The sequence below is a fragment of the Homo sapiens genome, chromosome 2 (assembly GCF_000001405.40).
Source record: "Homo sapiens chromosome 2, GRCh38.p14 Primary Assembly".
Lineage (NCBI taxonomy): Eukaryota > Metazoa > Chordata > Mammalia > Primates > Hominidae > Homo > Homo sapiens.
In genome coordinates, this window is record NC_000002.12 from 16,649,442 (window position 1) to 16,667,263 (window position 17,822).

At 46.5% G+C, this 17,822-nt stretch overlaps 1 protein-coding gene across 8 annotated transcripts in view, besides 4 other annotated features; it reads right to left on the bottom strand.

Annotated features, from left to right (window-relative positions):
• The window catches only part of CYRIA (CYFIP related Rac1 interactor A), a 116,376-nt gene extending 99,983 nt beyond the window's left edge, over positions 1-16,393 (bottom strand). For all 8 annotated transcript variants that reach the window (XM_024453163.2, XM_047445942.1, NM_030797.4 and 5 more), the window contains exon 1: positions 16,339-16,393. The gene's annotated coding sequence lies outside the window, so the exon portion shown is untranslated. The remainder of the gene's footprint in view (positions 1-16,338) is intronic.
• Positions 425-474: an enhancer, noted in NCBI's record as "active region_15349". NCBI's record gives its function as "activates an Ori minimal core promoter by ATAC-STARR-seq in GM12878 lymphoblastoid cells {active_cell/tissue: GM12878}" and the evidence as "EXISTENCE:reporter gene assay evidence [ECO:0000049][PMID:35858748]".
• Positions 515-664: an enhancer, noted in NCBI's record as "active region_15350". NCBI's record gives its function as "activates an Ori minimal core promoter by ATAC-STARR-seq in GM12878 lymphoblastoid cells {active_cell/tissue: GM12878}" and the evidence as "EXISTENCE:reporter gene assay evidence [ECO:0000049][PMID:35858748]".
• Positions 16,310-16,359: a silencer, noted in NCBI's record as "silent region_11186". NCBI's record gives its function as "represses an Ori minimal core promoter by ATAC-STARR-seq in GM12878 lymphoblastoid cells {active_cell/tissue: GM12878}" and the evidence as "EXISTENCE:reporter gene assay evidence [ECO:0000049][PMID:35858748]".
• Positions 16,430-16,599: a silencer, noted in NCBI's record as "silent region_11187". NCBI's record gives its function as "represses an Ori minimal core promoter by ATAC-STARR-seq in GM12878 lymphoblastoid cells {active_cell/tissue: GM12878}" and the evidence as "EXISTENCE:reporter gene assay evidence [ECO:0000049][PMID:35858748]".

Sequence of the window (17,822 nt, forward strand, 5' to 3'; positions counted from 1 at the left end):
ACAGTTGTACAGTACAGGGCATGGTTATACAGTATGGGGGACAGTTGTACAGTACAGGGCATGGCTGTACAGTACACAGGGCATGGCTGTACAGTACAGAGGACAGTTAGTTGTGTAATACAGGGCATGTTTATACAGTACAGTGGATGGTTGTACAGTACAGGGCATGGTTGTACAGTACAGGAGACAGTTGTACAGTACAGGGCATGATTGTACAGCACAGGGAACAGTTACAGTACAGGACACAGTTGTACAGTACAGGACACAGTTGTACAGTACAGGGGATGGCTATACAGCACAGGGCACGGTTGTACAGTACAGGGCATGGTTATACAGTACAGGGGACAGTTATACAGTACAGAGCACGGTTGTACAGTACCATCCTGCTGGTTGCCAGATGACTTGGATGTACCACTTCCCCTCCCTGGGAGGAGGTTACAATTGGTATAGGACTTGGACATTTGCCTTGTTTACCAAATGGAGTGAAAATAGAATAAAGAAAGCCACATCCCAGTAGAAGTTTCAACAAGAGTCTCAAGTTTCTGCCACCTTGCTCGATCGCTTCTGTCATGAGCATGACACATTCCAAGAAGCACACACCCCCTCAGCCCAGGTTCCAGAATGAGAAGAAATGTACACCAGTGCCACAGAAGCCAACCTGCAGCCCCTGACACGTGGCACAGCAAGACAGTCGTCGCCATCAGCCACTGAGATTTGGGGGTTATTTCTGACTGCAGCAAAAGTGACATACTCCACATTTTTCCAGATTAAATAATTTTATATTCACAGGTATTATGTTGGGGTCTGCTGAGACGAAATTATGTCAATTTTATGGATGACATCCCTAAGACGTAAGAGTGGTTAAGCAATGGCCCAGAAATCAACCAAAAAGAGGAGCAAAGCTATATACTCAGCTGAATGAGTATATAGTATAAAACAAGACTGACTCACTTCAATATAAAAATCTCTGCAAACTGCAGATCGATTAAAACACTAGCAAATCATAAAGGTTTCATTGGTCTCTGGGCCAGTTCCTGATATCAGGGATGATGCAACAACAGACCAAGAGGCCTACAATAGAACAAATGCAGAACCTTCTCCGTTAAGCTTCATGGGCTGGCAGCCCCAGCTCTCACACTCAGAGGCTCCACAAAGCAACCCTAAACATCTCAGAGAGACTGGATGCTCCTCTCTGGCCATGGAAAGGCCTTCTGAGCTCAACAGACAAGCTCTGTAGTGGCTCTGTGACAAGTATCTCAGAATGCCCATTACATGCCTGCAACCGGCACCGGGAATGGCAACAATCAGAGGGTGTGTTATTTCACCAGGAAATTCAAACAGAAAGACCGTGACCTTAAGGCAAGTCAAGGAGGAAGGTAGCAATTCAGGACAGAGGCTCACAGGCTTTGACATGAGTGACTAATTCAATTTTTTGCTCCTGTTGTTTTAAATTCAAACCTTATTGTTCTTTTTCTTTGCTTTATTATCTTCTTTCTCTCTTACTTTCACTTTAAAAAAACATTCCATTCAACGGGGGCGAGTGAGTCACCATAATCATTTATTTAGACGCATTTCAGGCTCGCTCTATGCTATCCGGCCCCACTTGCTGACATGTATGGAAGGCGTTCTGCAGCAGCTGATCTTTTTACCAGAAAGCCCAATTTTCAACAGCTATTTCTGGGGGGTCTGGGAGGGTTGGCACCTTGCATGTGGCTTTTCATGACAATTCACACCTTTGGTTTCCTACCCTGACCCAAGCTAGGCTGACTTCTAACACCTCCCACTCCTGTATACCCACAGATGCTGTTTTCAAGCCTCCTCGTACCTGGAGCAACAATCCTGGCCTTTGCCTTCTTATACTGTCATATCAACTACATTAAATTATCATCCTAGAAAAATTAGGTAAACATATACGTGTGCATGTTTGTAAAGCACCGCACTGCAGTGCAGAAGCCAAATACTAATATAAAATCAGGAAAAGTATTTCTGACAGCTGGAAAAAATCCCTAAACAGTTGCAGACAAACCTGGAGAAGTAAAGTTGATAAAAATTGATCTGTGAACAGACTCTATCCTTCATCCAAAACCTCTCACCAGGTAGCACCTTGTGAACATGGGTCCCGCACAGGCATGTGAGTCACGCCCTGCAATTTATACAGAGCTTTCAACTTGTTTTCAAAGCTTGTTGTCTTCAAAATATTCCTGAAAAGGAGGCAGGAAGGAAGATTAGCTCCACTGGAGGATGAGGAGATGAAGACCCAGGGAGGCTGTCCACTCACTTTGAGCAGGTCATTGGCAGACCAAGAATTAACTTTTTATTATTTTAATATCAGGTGCCGTGAATTTTTTTTTTAATTTCCCCATTTTAAAAACTTGTAATATGCAGTTGAATGCAGGAAATTCCAGTCATCTTATGTCAAGTACCTTCAGATAAGGTTCTTCAAGGAGGCTGCTTGGAATGGGTTCCATGAGGAAGGGGTTTATCTGTCAGAACAACCCCAGCACCTAAGCACAGTCAGTTCTCAAAAAACAGTTTTTGAATAAGGAAAAGGCAAGTCTTTGCTTTTTCCCTTTTTAATATTTTTAAGCAAACCTACTACCTGATCCAGCAGCTGAAAGCAATCTTCCCTCCCCAGCTCTCGTTAATGAACACTCCACAACTTTGTAACTATGGGGTCCATCCTTTGACACCCACACATACTTCTGGTTGGAAATCCATTTCTATCATTCCTTTGTGAAAATTCCCTAACATCTTCCCACAGCTTCAGGATGTCCTCTAGCTTCCGTCTTCAGTGAGCTCTTACCTACCCCCCTCACACTCTAACCCTATGAGCTACTTGTCCCACCTGCTCTAAGTTGCTACAAGTTGCTATAAGCCACTTTTTGTCCTGAGGAGCAGGATTCAGATGGGCAGAGGATACGAGGTGGGAGCTGGCAGCCTCCAGAGGTCCCTGAGCCTCACTGGGGCCAAATGCTTTTCTTAGCCATCCTCTCTCCCCTTGCCGTATACCCTATTATATTTGCTAGGATTTTTCCCTGCATTTGAAGAAATTCAAGCTCCTCTGAGATGAGCATTTTGCTCTGTAAAGGGAAAGGCCCTGCCAGGGGAGGTTCTTTTCCTTCTGGAAAGGTCTCCAGAGATGAAGTCTTCCGGGTCCCACAGACTCCCCCTGCTACCCCCTGCCACCCTCTGCGTCAGCAAAGTGGAGAGTGGAAAGTCTTGGCTGAAATCCTGACACACTTTGAGGGTTTCTCGAGAGCTTCCCTGTTCCAGCCTTCGGTCAGTTTTTATAAACACCAGTCCCCAGCAGGGATCGGATGAGCAGTTAATCCCCGGGGATTCTGAAGAAGCCCTCTTCCTCTGGACTCCAATTAACACTCTCCTCTCCACAGCTTTCACTTCCAGCTTTCTCCTGGCACCTTATCCTTTCCTTAGCAATCCTGCCCATGTGATGCTTGTCCAGCTGGTTAATGGGGATTTACAGCCAGCATTTCTTCAAAGTTCCAATGTTTATTTAAAAAAATCACAAATAATATTTAACTAGGACTCTTGGACTTAAAAAAATAAATAGGAGCAGAAGTCTTCATAAAAGCTGGGCTCTCTTTCTATCCCAGACCCTTTGCTATGTGCTGGGGATGTGAAGATTGAAGACAAGCCTGGGCCTGTCCTGCATGGTGCACAGGCCAGCATGAGAACAGGCCAGTGAACTGCAGACAGCAAAAACATCCTGGGTCAGAGGGAGTGCCAGGAGGGCCTTGAAATCACAGGCTGGCCTGTGATGTCTCCATGACCCCATGGCCTGCAACCGGTCACTTGTCCACTCAGCTCTGGCCCTGGCCTCCCTGCAGTTTCTTCATCTGGCCAGACACACTCCACTCTGGTTTGGCCCTCGCTGAGGCTCAGACTGGAACAGTTTCCCCCAATTATCCACAATGATTATTTTACGTCCTTCAGGCCTTCACTCAATCCTCACCTTCTCTGACAACCCTATTTAAAATAGCAACTCTTTCCCCAAACTTGCTGTCATCCACCCATCCTTCTGTATACCCATCTCTGCTTCATTTTCCTTCATGGAACTTACCACCATCTAACATGATATACATTTTACTTGTTTATATGTTTATGGTCCATCTTTCCCCAACAAAATATAAGCTCCATGGGTTAGGGAGTTTGTGTGTTTGGTTTACTGCTGAATCCCCAGAAACAGACCCAGAGAAGTGCACAACTCATTGTAGGTGCTCAATAAGTATCTGTTGAATAAGTAGATGGACAGATGGACGGATGAATTTGACGGGGACCTGGGGAAGGTTTATGGCGAATGTTACACCAGAAGCGAATCTCAAAGGGTCTGTCCAGGCAAAGAAAGGGCATTTTGAAAACAGGATGTAGCTCATGTGTGATCCTGCGTAAATCACATTACCATTTTCTCTTCTGTAATACGAAGCTAACGCATAGTATTTGCAAGTCTATGATGAGCCATGAAACTGAAAATGGACTTTGGGTGAGCTAAACTGAGCCAGTAGTGGGGCAGGCTGAAACAACATGGGAAGAGACAAGAGGAAGTTGCCTTTCTCCACAGCCAGCAGATTGAGTTATGACCAGCAGACAGATACTGGGGAAGCCCAGCCCTGTGAGGTGGGAGCTGGTGGGTCAGCTTGATCTCCTGGTTCAACAAGGAGTGTTTCTGTTCCAGGGCAAGGCAAAACCCCAAGCGCTCTATAAAACTGCAGCCTGTGAATCACTGATTCACCAAGCAAGCCAAAATGTTTGCATCTCTCCGAGTCTTGGTTTTGCTCTCTATAAAATAAAAAGCACAACTTCTTCTTCCATCGAATGACACATCTGGAAGTATCCAGAAAACTGTCTGGCACTTTGGGAATACATGGTCAAAGTTTGTTAAGTAGAAATACCATATACTATTTGCATGAAATTTACATTAAGGTAGGGCGTGCCATGGGACTCCATTCTGGAAAAAGGCAAAGAAATCAAGCTATGATCATATTTTCTGAGGCTTAAGAGACTCCAGTCATGGCAGGAAAAAGGATTTTATTTTCTTTAAAAAAAAATAAAATTGTGGCCTGGAAGCAGTGCGAGCTGTGTGGTATGGAAACGTGTAGAAGTTTTAGAGCCAGGCCGACTTCAACCAAATCCTGGTGCCCCATTTTCAGCCCTTTTCAGTCCTATGTCTTAAAGCAAATTTTAAAAAAAACCTTCTTAGCTTCATTGTCTTTATCTTTAAAAAAGAAATGAAAATATCACCTTAGAAGGTGTCTGTGGGATGAAAAAATGTATACAAAAATACTATCCAAATAGTTAGAATTAATAGGTGCTAAATGTATACTGAATAGCATAATTCACTGTTGTTAACATAATTAAAAATTTGGGAATACTATGAAAAATTAAGGGTCATGACTGGACTGGGCAAGCTATAAGTCACTGGTTAGAAAAAAATAACTCACATTCATATACCACAAATAGTGATCACACTGTAGCTATTTTAGTTTCTATGAGCTACTCAATCTATTTCCTGAATCTGAGGTTTAACAGATAAATTTACACAACCTATGACCTTACTAGCAGGTTGAGCATGTAGTGTGAAAGGGAGAAAGAGGGACGAGGCCTTGACACACAGATGTTTTAAAGGGAGAAAAAACAGGAGATATGCACTTAGCACTCCATCCACACCCGTACAAGCTCACTCGCTCGCCCCAAGTGATGAAAGAGGAAACCCCAATTCAGACCCATGGGGAAGAGGGCTCTTTGCTTCAGTAATTGCAGGCCAGAGCTGAACAATCTCCTCTTCCATCTTGAGAATGCCTCTGGGCTTGGGGTGTGGGGCCTAGTGTGTGGGCTTGCCTCACCAACCCAGGAATGGCTTTAGACTTCATCTAGTCAAACATACTTGTTAAAAATGGAGGAACTGAGGCTCAGGGAGGGGAGGAGGCTTACAACAAGTTAGGCAGAAGGTCAGTGGCAGAGCTAGGCTTATACCCAGGGGACTCCTTGGACAGTGCTCACTCCACTGCCCACATGGTCTTCCTGATCCTCCGCAGTTTGGTAAGCAAAACTGCAACAATATTTCACATTCTCTTCTGTTCGTTCTCCCTCACATCCAGTGTCTCAACTCTGCTAAGCCCTGCTTGGGCTTGACCCTAAAGAACTTGAACCTGAAGGAGTTGTAAATGTGCGGCAACTGGAGCACGGCCTGATCACGCAGGGGCTCAGACAGCTGCAGCACAGCTTCTCCTGCTCCCTCCCTTTCTTTTCTCTTTCATAATCTTTTTCCTACTTTCCCCAACTGACTATTACATAAAATTGAATGCATTCTTGGTCTTTTTTTTTTAAACCTGAATTGGGTTTTTCTTTCACTTATTTTTATTTCTAAAGTCGCATATGCAAATGATTTGGGTGTTTTAAAAATGTGTAGCATAAGATTTACAGGGTTCTATGTTTCTGAAGCAGCAGAATTGGATATTTCTCCCTAAGAAATGTAATTCAGTTGCTTTCTGCCAGTTAATGTCAGAATTGCCTTTCTTGGTGGTTACCGGTCCTTGAAAGACAAAAGGTCCCTTGGCTTGCAGGGGCATCTGAGTAGTCAGTTCCACCTGTGAGCTACACAAAGGCCAGGGCAGAGCCTTGTCCAGAGAGTGCCTGGCAGATTCCTGCCCTCTGCAGCTCTTCCTTGGAATGAAAAGGATTCCCCCAATGCACATGTACACGCTTACACATACACCTGTACACATCCACATATTCACCCCCACACACCCACTCACAAACTGCACACACACATACCCACACTCACACATACCTATACACACACAGCTATACACATCCACATATCCACACCCACACACCCACTCACAAGCCACACATAAACACACATATATTCCAACCACACACATCCATTCAAACCACACACATCATACTTATACACTCACAAGTCCAGGCCTCTCTAGTTTCTAAGGGCCAGCCATCCCCAGAGGCACCCTATTCTCCATGTGCGCTGATGTGAACCATATTTACAGCTCCCTAGTGGCTCCAATAGTCTATGCAAACCAAAGGCCTTCAGGATCCTGGAAGTTAAGGTCACTCCTCCGTGGTGGAAGCTACATGGCTATCACTGGTTGTGAGTGGGTGAGACCCTCCTCCAGAAGGACACAGTGGGTCCTCAGAGAGGAGGAGCTGCTGATTTTTAAACATCATCAGATTCTGAAAGAAATGTTAATCTTTTGATCTGGAAAATGTCAGAATTATGATGCATTAATAATAAACTCAAAAGACAAAGACATAAAGAAAGAGAAAACAGGAGAGAAATGCAGAGCAATTGCTGGAATGGCCGTTGCCATTAGGGCCACTGCCAATGGCCATGCTTGGTCAAGCAGCCAGTGAGACCTCGTGAGCGTCAGTGGCGTGAATGGCAGTCGAGTCACCAGGGCCAAAATACATCTGAGGCAACCAGCCAAAGGCACAGAAACACTAGAGCTGTGGAAGAAGTAAAGGAAGACCCGAGAGGGAACCCAGCAGAGAGCACAGGGAAACTTTCTACATCCCTCCAGAGGTCAGCCTGGGGCTGGCAGAAGTTACCAGTACAGCCAGACAGACAGCTCAGTGCTTCCCACTCTCCTCCTCTTTTGACGTCCTAGCCTCCATGTCTTAATTCTCAGAGAGACAAAGGAAGAAGTCATTTACTTAGAAACTCAGTTCCTAGGGGCCAAGGAAGAGAAGTGACAAGCTCAAGCTCACTTTACAACCAAAGAACAGACCCAAAATAAGAACCAAAATGTTCTCACGCTCGGCTGAGGCTTTTCACTTCCCCATGCTCACTCTTTCAGCCCTGGCTCTTCCTCACATGGGCAAAATGATGAGTAAGATTTAAAAATTCCCTCTGCCATCCCCCTCCAAGGCCAAAACCAAAACTTAATTATAAGCCACACTCAATAAAAAATTCCCAGCTTATTTTTACTTCTCAGGAAATTTTTTTTAAAATGACTTTGTCCCAGTGAAATTTGAGAGCCCATGTTTTTTGATGTTTTTTGTTGTTTTTTTTTTTTTGGCTGTTGTTTTGTTTTTGTGCCAAGCATGGTCATTTAATTCAGTTAATTGAGAAAATATAAAAATGGCCACTAATGCTTTTGATAAGCATGAGATGGGCCATGTCACCATACCCTCTAATATCCAAAGGTAGGATATTCACTTGTGTCATCTGGACTTTGCCGACACAGTCAGTTCTTTTAGGCTTTCTGCAAGATCCACAAAACCTTCTTTGAGACTCTTTGCTCAGATGTGCTTCCAAATTCAGAAATGTCTTTTAGAAAGGTAAAGAGTGCATAAGCCATGTATTACATACATGCCCAGCAGGGTCTGGGACACTTATCTTTCTGCTGAAAACCTCATTCATCTTGAGTGTAATACATAAAAGTTATAGAGTCTCTGGGCCAGCTTTTGCTTTCAAATGCATGATGAAATAAACTTCCCATTTTCAGAGCTTTTTGGATTTTGGACTTAAAAATAAGCGAATGTGTATGTGTCAAAAAATAGCTTATGACCCCATTTATTAATTCTGAAGGTATTCAAGGACCTGGATTTAAAACTGCAAGACTCCAGAAAAAAAATACATGTTTAAAAAATAAGAAAAAGACTTAGGATAAGGAGATTGATCATATAGTGCATGTACAGTGCTTGATGCTGATGAGAATCATTATCCTTGTTACAATCTAGGAAATAATGTGGCTAGGTTCACTTCAGGCATAAATTGAAAGCTCGAAAGCTAGAAACAGAAGTCTAGAGGGGTTGACTATGTGGGGCTTTTTCAGGGACAATTCAGGAATGTGTTGTCAGAGAAAGGACAAGTTTCACGTCATTTCCCACCCAGAGAAACAAATAAAGAGGAACCTAGAGGACGTAGCAAAAACTTTACAAACAAATTTTATTCAAAGGTCAGGCCAGAAGGAAGATGGATGTATATTTAATTCACATATTCCTCACAATATTCCTGAGACACAAACATTATTAACTTTAGTTCACAAACTGGAAAACTTAGCAAGCTTAAGGAATTTGCCCAAGGAAAGGGCCAAGATTCCATCCAACCCAGGTCTGTTTGCTTCCAAACACTTGCTCCAGAACTTCAAGGAGCAGATGTCACTTGTCTGGATTTCAGAGAGCTGTGGTAGCTGAGTTCTTGTCTCAGCCTTGGAAAAGCCACTGGTCTCAGTTTCTCTTTCTTCCTCTTTTCCTGTCTTTCCCTTTCTTTCCTTTCCTTTTTTTCTTTTCTTTTCCTTCCACCCTTCCTTTTCTCTTCCTTTTCTTTTCTCTTCATTCCATCCATCTACCTAGCTATCTAATCCCCCAGTTTCTGTGGAATAGAGGAGAAAGAGCAGGGGTGTTCATCAGCATGCATGCCTGTCACTCTGTAAGCTGAGAACATAGTTATCTTGTGTTCCTTCCCATGACTGCAAGCTGTACCAAGGAAGGGCCTGAGAAGTAAGTTGGATACCACCTGCCTCAACTGGGAGCGATCCACAGCTCAACAAGGCCATATACTGCACTCAGTGCAGGCTCAGCTCATTATTTCTGTGTGGCATCCTCCGTGGAGGTGGGCTGAGCAAAGGACACCCTGAAGGACGTCAGCCAAACACAGACACACCAGTCACAGGGAAGCACTTGAAACACAAGCTATATTTCATTCAGTTCTAAGGTATGGAGGCTCCTCTGGCTAGCAGAAACTCACCAGCTCTTTGAGATGAGTGTTCTACCCAAGACACATGCTAATTAACTCCATGCTCCTCACATATGCACAGCTCTTGTTTATAGTGTGGGTGATACAGAGAGATCAGGCTTTGAAGGCACACAGATGTGGTTTCAGATACCAGCTATGCCACTTTTCTAATGAGGTGACATTCTGCAAATTCCTTAACACCTCTGGACTTCCATTCGCCCATCCATAAAATGGGGATAATATCTGTTTCAAACGTTCTTCAGAAGATTGCTAAAAGTGGGTACAAAATGTTTATCATTGTCCTGCTGACAATACCCTACATGGCTCAGTAGGAACACAAGACTCAGGAGATCGACAGCTTGTCAAAGCCCAGGCTGCTTGTAAGTGGGCAGCGTGACTACAAGACCCCGGGTCTTCTTGGACTCTCCACTTGCTCTTGCCCCAACCACAGCATGAAGCTTCTCACATGAGGTGACTGGGAGCCAGCCTCATCACCGTGGCTGGAAAGGCCTGCATCTGGTTGCCAATGCGAATGAGAGAACTTGAAGAGTGTTGGGATAAGAGCTTGTCACTCATTGTTCCTCATGATCGAAAAATGATTGTGCATTTAATTTTGAAACTCAGGAATCATCAAACCAAATAATGATTTTTAAAAAGCAACATTAACTTAAAACAGAAGAGCACATTGCAGTAACCAAGGCATCTGTGAGGTCAACCTTCTTCTGCATTCACTGTGGTGAAGGCTCTGGAATATGGGAGTAAGCTGGTCCCTCTGTGCCACTCCTGTGTCTCTGCTTGTCTCTTCCCACTGTCATCAGCCTTTTATCAGGATGCTCAGCCAGAAAGTGGCTCCCTTTCTGGGAAGGAAAACAGGGCTTCTCGCCTCCTTGAGAGGATTCCTTGAAAACACACTTGGTTCTCTGCATCCCAGCTCTCTCTTGGCAACCCTGCTAACTAAAACGGCTAGGTTTTGCCTCTTCACCTGTCACTAGAGGAAATGAGTCCAAGAGCTTATTAGAATCATCAGGCTAGATGTGGAAAGGCACTTTCAAGTCATCAAATCCAGTCTTCCCATTTCACCAACAGTGAAACTGAAGCACAGAGATCTGCTCTTCCCTTACGAGGAAGTAAGGACTGCAGCTGACAGCTGAGCTTAGGTGGGCAGCCTTCCAGGACAAGCGTGTTTCTGTTTCGTGCTCCCTCTCTATGCAACATCAGGTGTAATTCAGGTGGTCCACAGAGAGCGCCCATGTGGAGGGAAATTGACTCTATTGAAGTAAGAGTCAAAACAATACTTCCCTCTTCCCTCAGCACACTGCACTTTGTAAAACACTGGCCAGGCTCCACTGGGCCATGTGTTTCCTCCCCTGATTCTCCCATGGAGGGAGAGCTACTTGAGGGCAGGGGTAATGTCATATTGATCACTGTATCCTAGCACAACACAGAGCAAGAACCCACCCCGTACATATTTGTCAAATGAATAATCTCATTTTTATGCTTGATCCATCGTAAAACTGCAATTAAACCCTTTGGGGCACTCCATTTCCCCAGTTTCATTTAAAAAATCTAATTATCTATGCCATACAGAATTTTTATTAGAAAGTGAAGTCATTAAATAAGCAGACACCAGACTCAGGCCCTGAGATAATTGCAAATAGAAACACATCTGTCTGCAGCGCTAAGCTGGACCTGGTAAACACACTGCTGGGAAACATGGCACCCATTCTCAGCACCTGGATTCGTGGGGGAAATGGGATTCTTAGGCCAGGGAAATTAGGCTTCCAAATTACCCAAGAAAGGCTAATGAGCAATTCTGTAACTGCTTTTCAATACCTCCAGCTTCCTAGGTGATAGCTGTACTGACAGACTGAATCCCAGCACTTTGGGAGGCCAAAGCGGAAGGACTGCTTGAGCCCAGGAGTTCAAGACCAGCCTGGGCAACATGGCGAAACCCCACCTCTACAAAAAGTGAAAAGATCTTGGTGGTGCACACCTGTGGTCCCAGCTACTCAGGAGGCTGGGGTGGGAGGATTACTTGAGCTGAGGAGGTTGAGGCTGCAGTGAGCCATGATGGCACCCCTGCACTGTAGCCTGGGTGACAGAGCAAGACCCTGTCTCAAAAAAAGAAAAAATAAATAAACTGAATCCAAGTCACCTTTGTATCTGAAGAGCCATCCATCCATATGTTCTGACCTTGTTTCTCCTGTCTCTGTATCCCTGGAAAGCAACTGTTATGCTTTCCATTCATAAGTTCAATCATAAAATCTTGGCCTGCTTAAAGGTTCAGTTTATTTCAGTGACAAATCAGCAATCCATTCTTGTGCAAAGGAAGCTACTTCTAGCATCATCAAACATTTTCCTTTAACTCAGATGTGTCAAACTCCTCTTCTATTCATCACTTATAGAAATAACATCCCAGCCAACTGCAGAAGCAATTCTTAAGGCTGTGGTGACAGCAAAATCCTAATAAACTCTCTAAATATTTACTAAGAGACTGAGTTACAACACTGACTGGTTCCACCCCTGTTAAAATCTGCCTGCATTCTCCAAACACAATTATTTTAGGTCACTGACACGCCAGCCAAGGAAACGACAATGCTGTGTACTACGGCACAAAGAGCAAGCAGAACCTAGCTTTAAATTCTGGTCCTGCCACTTCCTAGCTTCTAGACACGAGGCAAGGGACTTTACCTTTCCCCATTTTCTTAACTGTAAAATGGGGACAATAATACTAATGTCATAGAATTGTACTGATAATTGAGAAAAATGTATATTAATGTTTATAGTAACTTAAAAAAAAGAAGTTCAACATGCTCAGAATAAAAAATACGAGGCATTCATTTTAAAGTATTCTCACAGATAGAATATGTTTCTAAAACTCAGGGTGTTTGCTGCCACTTCAAATTTGTTCTCCTTTGAAAAAAAGAGTGTTGGTGATTCGTGCATTGTTGTGGTATTGTAGAACATAGCTTATCTAGTGAGCAATAATTTGAAAATTAACCAGCAGTGCTAGGAGCCTGAGCATGGGCAATTTTTAACCTTCTCAGATAATGAATGGATCTCCAAAGGCTAGAATTCATCCAAAGAGCTTTGTACCATGGTTTTAAGGGGACCCAGAGGTCCAGTAACTGAGAACGCTTTTCTAATCAATATAACTAAATAACAGCAAGTCTACTGTGAAGTGGGCACCATGCCAGACCCTTTAAATACATAAGATCATTTAAATCTTAGAAGGCAAGTATAATTACTGCAATTTCTCAGATGTAAGAATTGAGACCCAGAGAGGTTAGATGCACCTTCAACCACAGTTAAGACAAAGCAGTAGTGGAGTTTGAACTCATGCCTGACTCTTAAGACCACTTTCTTTCTAATCACCATGATGTCTTGTCAGGTAATTCATGCAGCTCCTGAGACAAGATTCTAACCATGATGAAGTTGGAACCGGAGACTTCTACGAGAGGATGAGTCAAAACTCAGTAAGAAAGGCAGTCCTGGCTCCCTGCCATGCTTCTCTCCCCTACCCTGCTCACAAGGGCTGATGTGTGGCTCTCCAACCATCACTCCATTGCTCCTCAAGTGGACAGTGGAAGGACAAATGTATTTCAGCCCCAAAGCACAAATCACCTGATTCAACCCTCATGGGTGACCTAGTCAAGTGGCCACCTCTGGGCCCTACATCAGCCTGCCCTTCCTTTTATCATACCACCTGTCTAACTGTATTATAAGGATCTTTTTCCATGACTAAATTTTTTTTTGAAAACAGAAATGCTGCTCATTTTTCGAACCCCTAGTTCCCAAAACTGTATTTGGTACAAAGCAGATACTCAATAAATGTAAGATACATAAATAAGTTAGAGGATTCAACATCAAGGCTGGGCAAAATGCCCCTGGAGGATGCCTCTAACCCTGAGATTTTATAGCTTAATTATGCCTAAATTAGTTTTCAATCTCTGGACAGTGGTCCAGGGCTGTCTTTAAGATTGAGATCTCCCAATAGAACTAGGACATTATGGGTCCTTCAGCCTTTCAAAGTGTTCAAAGCATTCCCGGTAGGCTATTCTATGCCATCCTAAAAGAACAAGAAAATGTGGCCAGTAGGATAGATGCTGTCAACCCCATTTTAAAGATGGAGAAACTGAGGCTATATGAGTGAACTGACTTTCTCAGGACCAACATTTGACACTGAGGCTGCTGATTCTCTGGTCTTTTTGTGCTACCATAATACGTGCTCAGCTTATTTTTAACAAACCTAGAGCATGGCAATGTGAAGGGACTGGCAGGGAATGGAAAAGAAGAGCGTGTACTGAAGAAAAAAACACCAGGGAAGGGAAGGAACAGCCTCACTGGAGAGGGTCACTGACAGCTGACAGTGGGTGCCCCTATGGCCCTGGGGAGCTATGAACTCCTTGCCCAGGGCTGGCTTGGGAGGGTCTACTTGACTCTGGGTCCCTGACTTATCTAGTTGCATCTAGGCCTGGGAGCAAATGCAAACTGAATTCTTCTTGGTGCTGAGTAAAAACAGGAAGTCACAAGTGGCTTTGCTCTGCTCTCAGCTGGGGTCCTCAACAGTTCAGGTCAAGGGTACACTTGGGACACTCCAGACAGCTTCCTGGCAGCTCCCTCCACAGTAGTCCAGCAGGGACAGGAAAAGTGGAGACACCTTCTAAAGAGCCTCCTATAGTGTGGGTTTAGGCAGCTGGACTAAGGAAGTCCCTGTGATCCCTCGGACAGGACCAGGGAGCCCAACAGAGATGCGTGTATGTCAGCTTCATCACTTTTCCATTCATTGAACCAAAACTGAGGGCTGACTGTGTGCTCAAATCAATGTGACCTTAGGGAAATAACTCACTTGCTCTGAGCTTAGTTTCCTCATCTGCAAAGTGGAAAGAGCCCCTGCCCCATGGGGCTATTGTGAAGATGAAAGGAAATAACACCAGTGAGGTCCTTTGCCACATTTGGTATCTATTTTTAGCACTGAGGCAGTATGCGCCCACTATGTGCCCAAGCCCGTGATGCTGCTGCTGCCCCCTTCCCAGAGCCAGAGCCCAGAGGCAGGAGGGAATGTGGGCAGGTCTGTTTCCACCTCGCTTTCCCACTCTCCCCTCACAGGAACCCAGGGCCAGCAGGAGGTGAAGTTCTGCCAGCCCCCAGCCTGGGCCCAGCGCCCATGTTTATGACTGTTTATTTCAGAGCAAGTAGAAAGGAGAAATTAGAGCCATGAAAGACAGGACAACGGACCAATAAAAACCAGCTCCCAGAAGAGTCAGAAGGAGGAAGACAGGCAAAACTGTCACCATAGCAACACAAGACAGTCAGAAGCACGCAGGAAAAACAGCCCCTGCTCTGCCTCCTGTCTCCACTGCAAAGCAAGCCCTCGAACCCCAACCAGAGATCAGTGAAAGCCGACAATGATCCACCCAAAGAACTCTGGTACCCAAGCCCAGACCTGGCTAGCAGCCACTCTCCTCCTGCTGCCCCAGCACAAGTCCCAGCCTTCCAGGGTCCCAGATCAGCATTCTGTGCCCTGGGGACTCGACACTGTGCAGATGGCCCAGGTCCCATCCAGAGGAGATAGTGACTGGTGACAGAGAGGAAAGTTTCTAACAGGGAGAAAAGGAGGGTCACAGAGCTTCAGGGGAGATCAGGGCCCTAAACTCCAGCCCCATGACCCTGTCTTGGGTTCCCTGGGGAGCAGGCGGGTAAACAAGGGTGTGGGAGAGGACATCAGGCCCTGGACACAGAAAGATTGCTCCATCAGTTCTGGACCTGGCACCCCCAAAACAGTGGCTGGGGGAATTCTGGGGATGCGTGGGGAAATAGCTTTGGAGGCCTTAAATGACAAAGATCTTGGCCCTGGTCTCTGGGGACACTGGCTAGCGAGTAGGAGCAGCTTGGAGGAGGACCCAGGGACGGGCTGGCCCATTTTGACAGAGAATGTCTCCTGGCAGACAAGACAGGTGTCTCCACCAAAAAGCATGGCTGGCCTGGGACCAGCATTTTGGGAAGTGGGTCAAATTGTTCCCAAAGCTCAGTATTGGAAAAGTGCCTTTTGCCAAACTGGGGTTCTGGGTTCTGGGGGAGGAGAGAGGGTGACGGCAAGGTGTGCTGGGTCCTAGGCACAGCAGCTTTCTGGCTGGCTAAGAACGTCTGTGGCAGGTGGCAACAGAAGGGTCCAGGTGTGCAGGGGCTGGGGAGGGGGCCATCCCTCCCTTTGGGGCTGTAGAGAGTACCCAGGACCCCGGGGCCTCGGGTGGTGGGAAGGGGAGTGTTAGGGGTCCCCTGCAAGAATGGAGCTTATGATACCTGGGGTGGGGGGTAAGTGAGTGAGGGACGAGGGAGGGTGGTCTGGGAAAGGAACACAATCAGGAGGCAGCCCTCTCAGAAAGAGGGCAACGGGGCACAAAGCCGGACCTCTGTCCGGCGATCGCTAGAGAAGGGCTCCCGGACGGTGTCCTCCGCTCTCCCTCCCTCCCAAAGGCTGCAGGGGCGTCCGGGAGGAGAAGGATGGCAGGGAGGCGCCCGCCCCGCCTCGCGGTGCCCCGCGGTGCCCCGTGCAGGCCGAGCCCCGCGCCCGCAGACCCCCGCCCGCGCCCCTGCCGCGCCCCCAGCCGCGCCGCGCTCACCGAGTCGCCGCCGCCCTGCTCTGCCGCCCGCTCCGCCGCCGCCGAGTACGCCTCTCCCGCGGCCGCCGCAGCCTGCGAGACGGCCTCGGAGCCCCGCCCCGCCCCTCCCCGTCCCTCCCCGCCCCGCCCCGCCCCCAGCCCGGCTCGCGGCAGCCGCCCCGCCCCGGCCCCGGGGGATCCCCACCCGCGCTGTCACCGGCCGCGTCCTCACCCTAGCCTGGACAACCCCATCTCTTTGCCCGGCTCTGCTCTCTGCTCCCAGGAGCTGGTGCGGACCCGCCCCAGCACGGTCGCCCCTGCCCCTTCTCAGCCTTGGCCACTTGGCCTTGCCTTCCCAGAGGAAGCCCGAACCAGACCTTTCTGTTTCTGCACACCAAATTCCTCCACACCCACGGTTGCCCTCCAAGAAAAAGAAATCCCCGCAATCTCTAGACGCATATTCACCTTCAAATTAATGCCCAGCCAAATCATCCCAATCCCTAGGCACACTCCAAATTACTTGAGATTCTGAACCCAGTCTCGCTCCCAGTCCCTTTCTGCCCACCCTATTAACAGATCTCCAGCCTTGGGGCCCGCAGTTATCCGATAGGACCACTGTAAAGTCTTCCCAAAGGCTCAATCCAAAACATGTAATTAACCTTAAAGAGTAAGTCTGCAAAAACACTTAAAAAATTCTATGATGCAAAAAGAAAGTAGTGGGTTACAGCGTCATTGACGTGATCATTGTTCTAAAACATCTGCCATGGAGGCTTTTTGCATTAGAGAGAGGGAGATTCAGGAAACCGGAGAGGACTCAGCAGTGCCAAACAGGTTGTGAGTCAGAGCTCCTGTTGAGGGGAGGGAGAGCTCCTGGGGACCCCGGCTTCGGGTGCTTCCTTTCCCAGTCCATCAGCCAGAACATCATGAAACATGTGTTAAATCCCCATAGTGTGCCAAGGTACGTGCCCGAAGCTGCATGGGTTGGGGCCCTGTGTGGGCTGGGATCAGAGGAGGCGGGAAGCATCAGGAGAAGGTGTTCAGGCCCCTCTCCTTTCTGAGATCCAGGGTGTTTCCCCTGGGAGGACTTGTTGCCCAAGCTTCCTTTGCACTCTGAAAGGCTCTCCTGAACTGCCCACAGAGGCTCTTGGTCTGTTTTTTGGCAAAAATTCACAGAGGGCAGGAAGGCACTGTCTAGTTAGAGTGAAATATTTTCCCACTTGGAAGGGGTCCTTAGGACCAGAAGAAACACTTTCCCGTTCTCTTTTTGAGTTTTCCCCATGCCCTAGACCAGCCTCTGTTGTCAATTCCTGCAAAGGTGTTTTTTTTGTTTTTGTTTTTTGAGACAGAGTCTCACTCTGTAGCTCAGGCTGGAGTGGAGTGGTGTGATCTCGGCTCACTGCAACCTCCATCCCCCGGGGTTCAAGCAATTCTCCTGCCTCAGCCTCCAGAGTAGCTGGGACTACAGGCGCCTGCCACCACATCCGGCTAATTTTTGTATTTTTAGT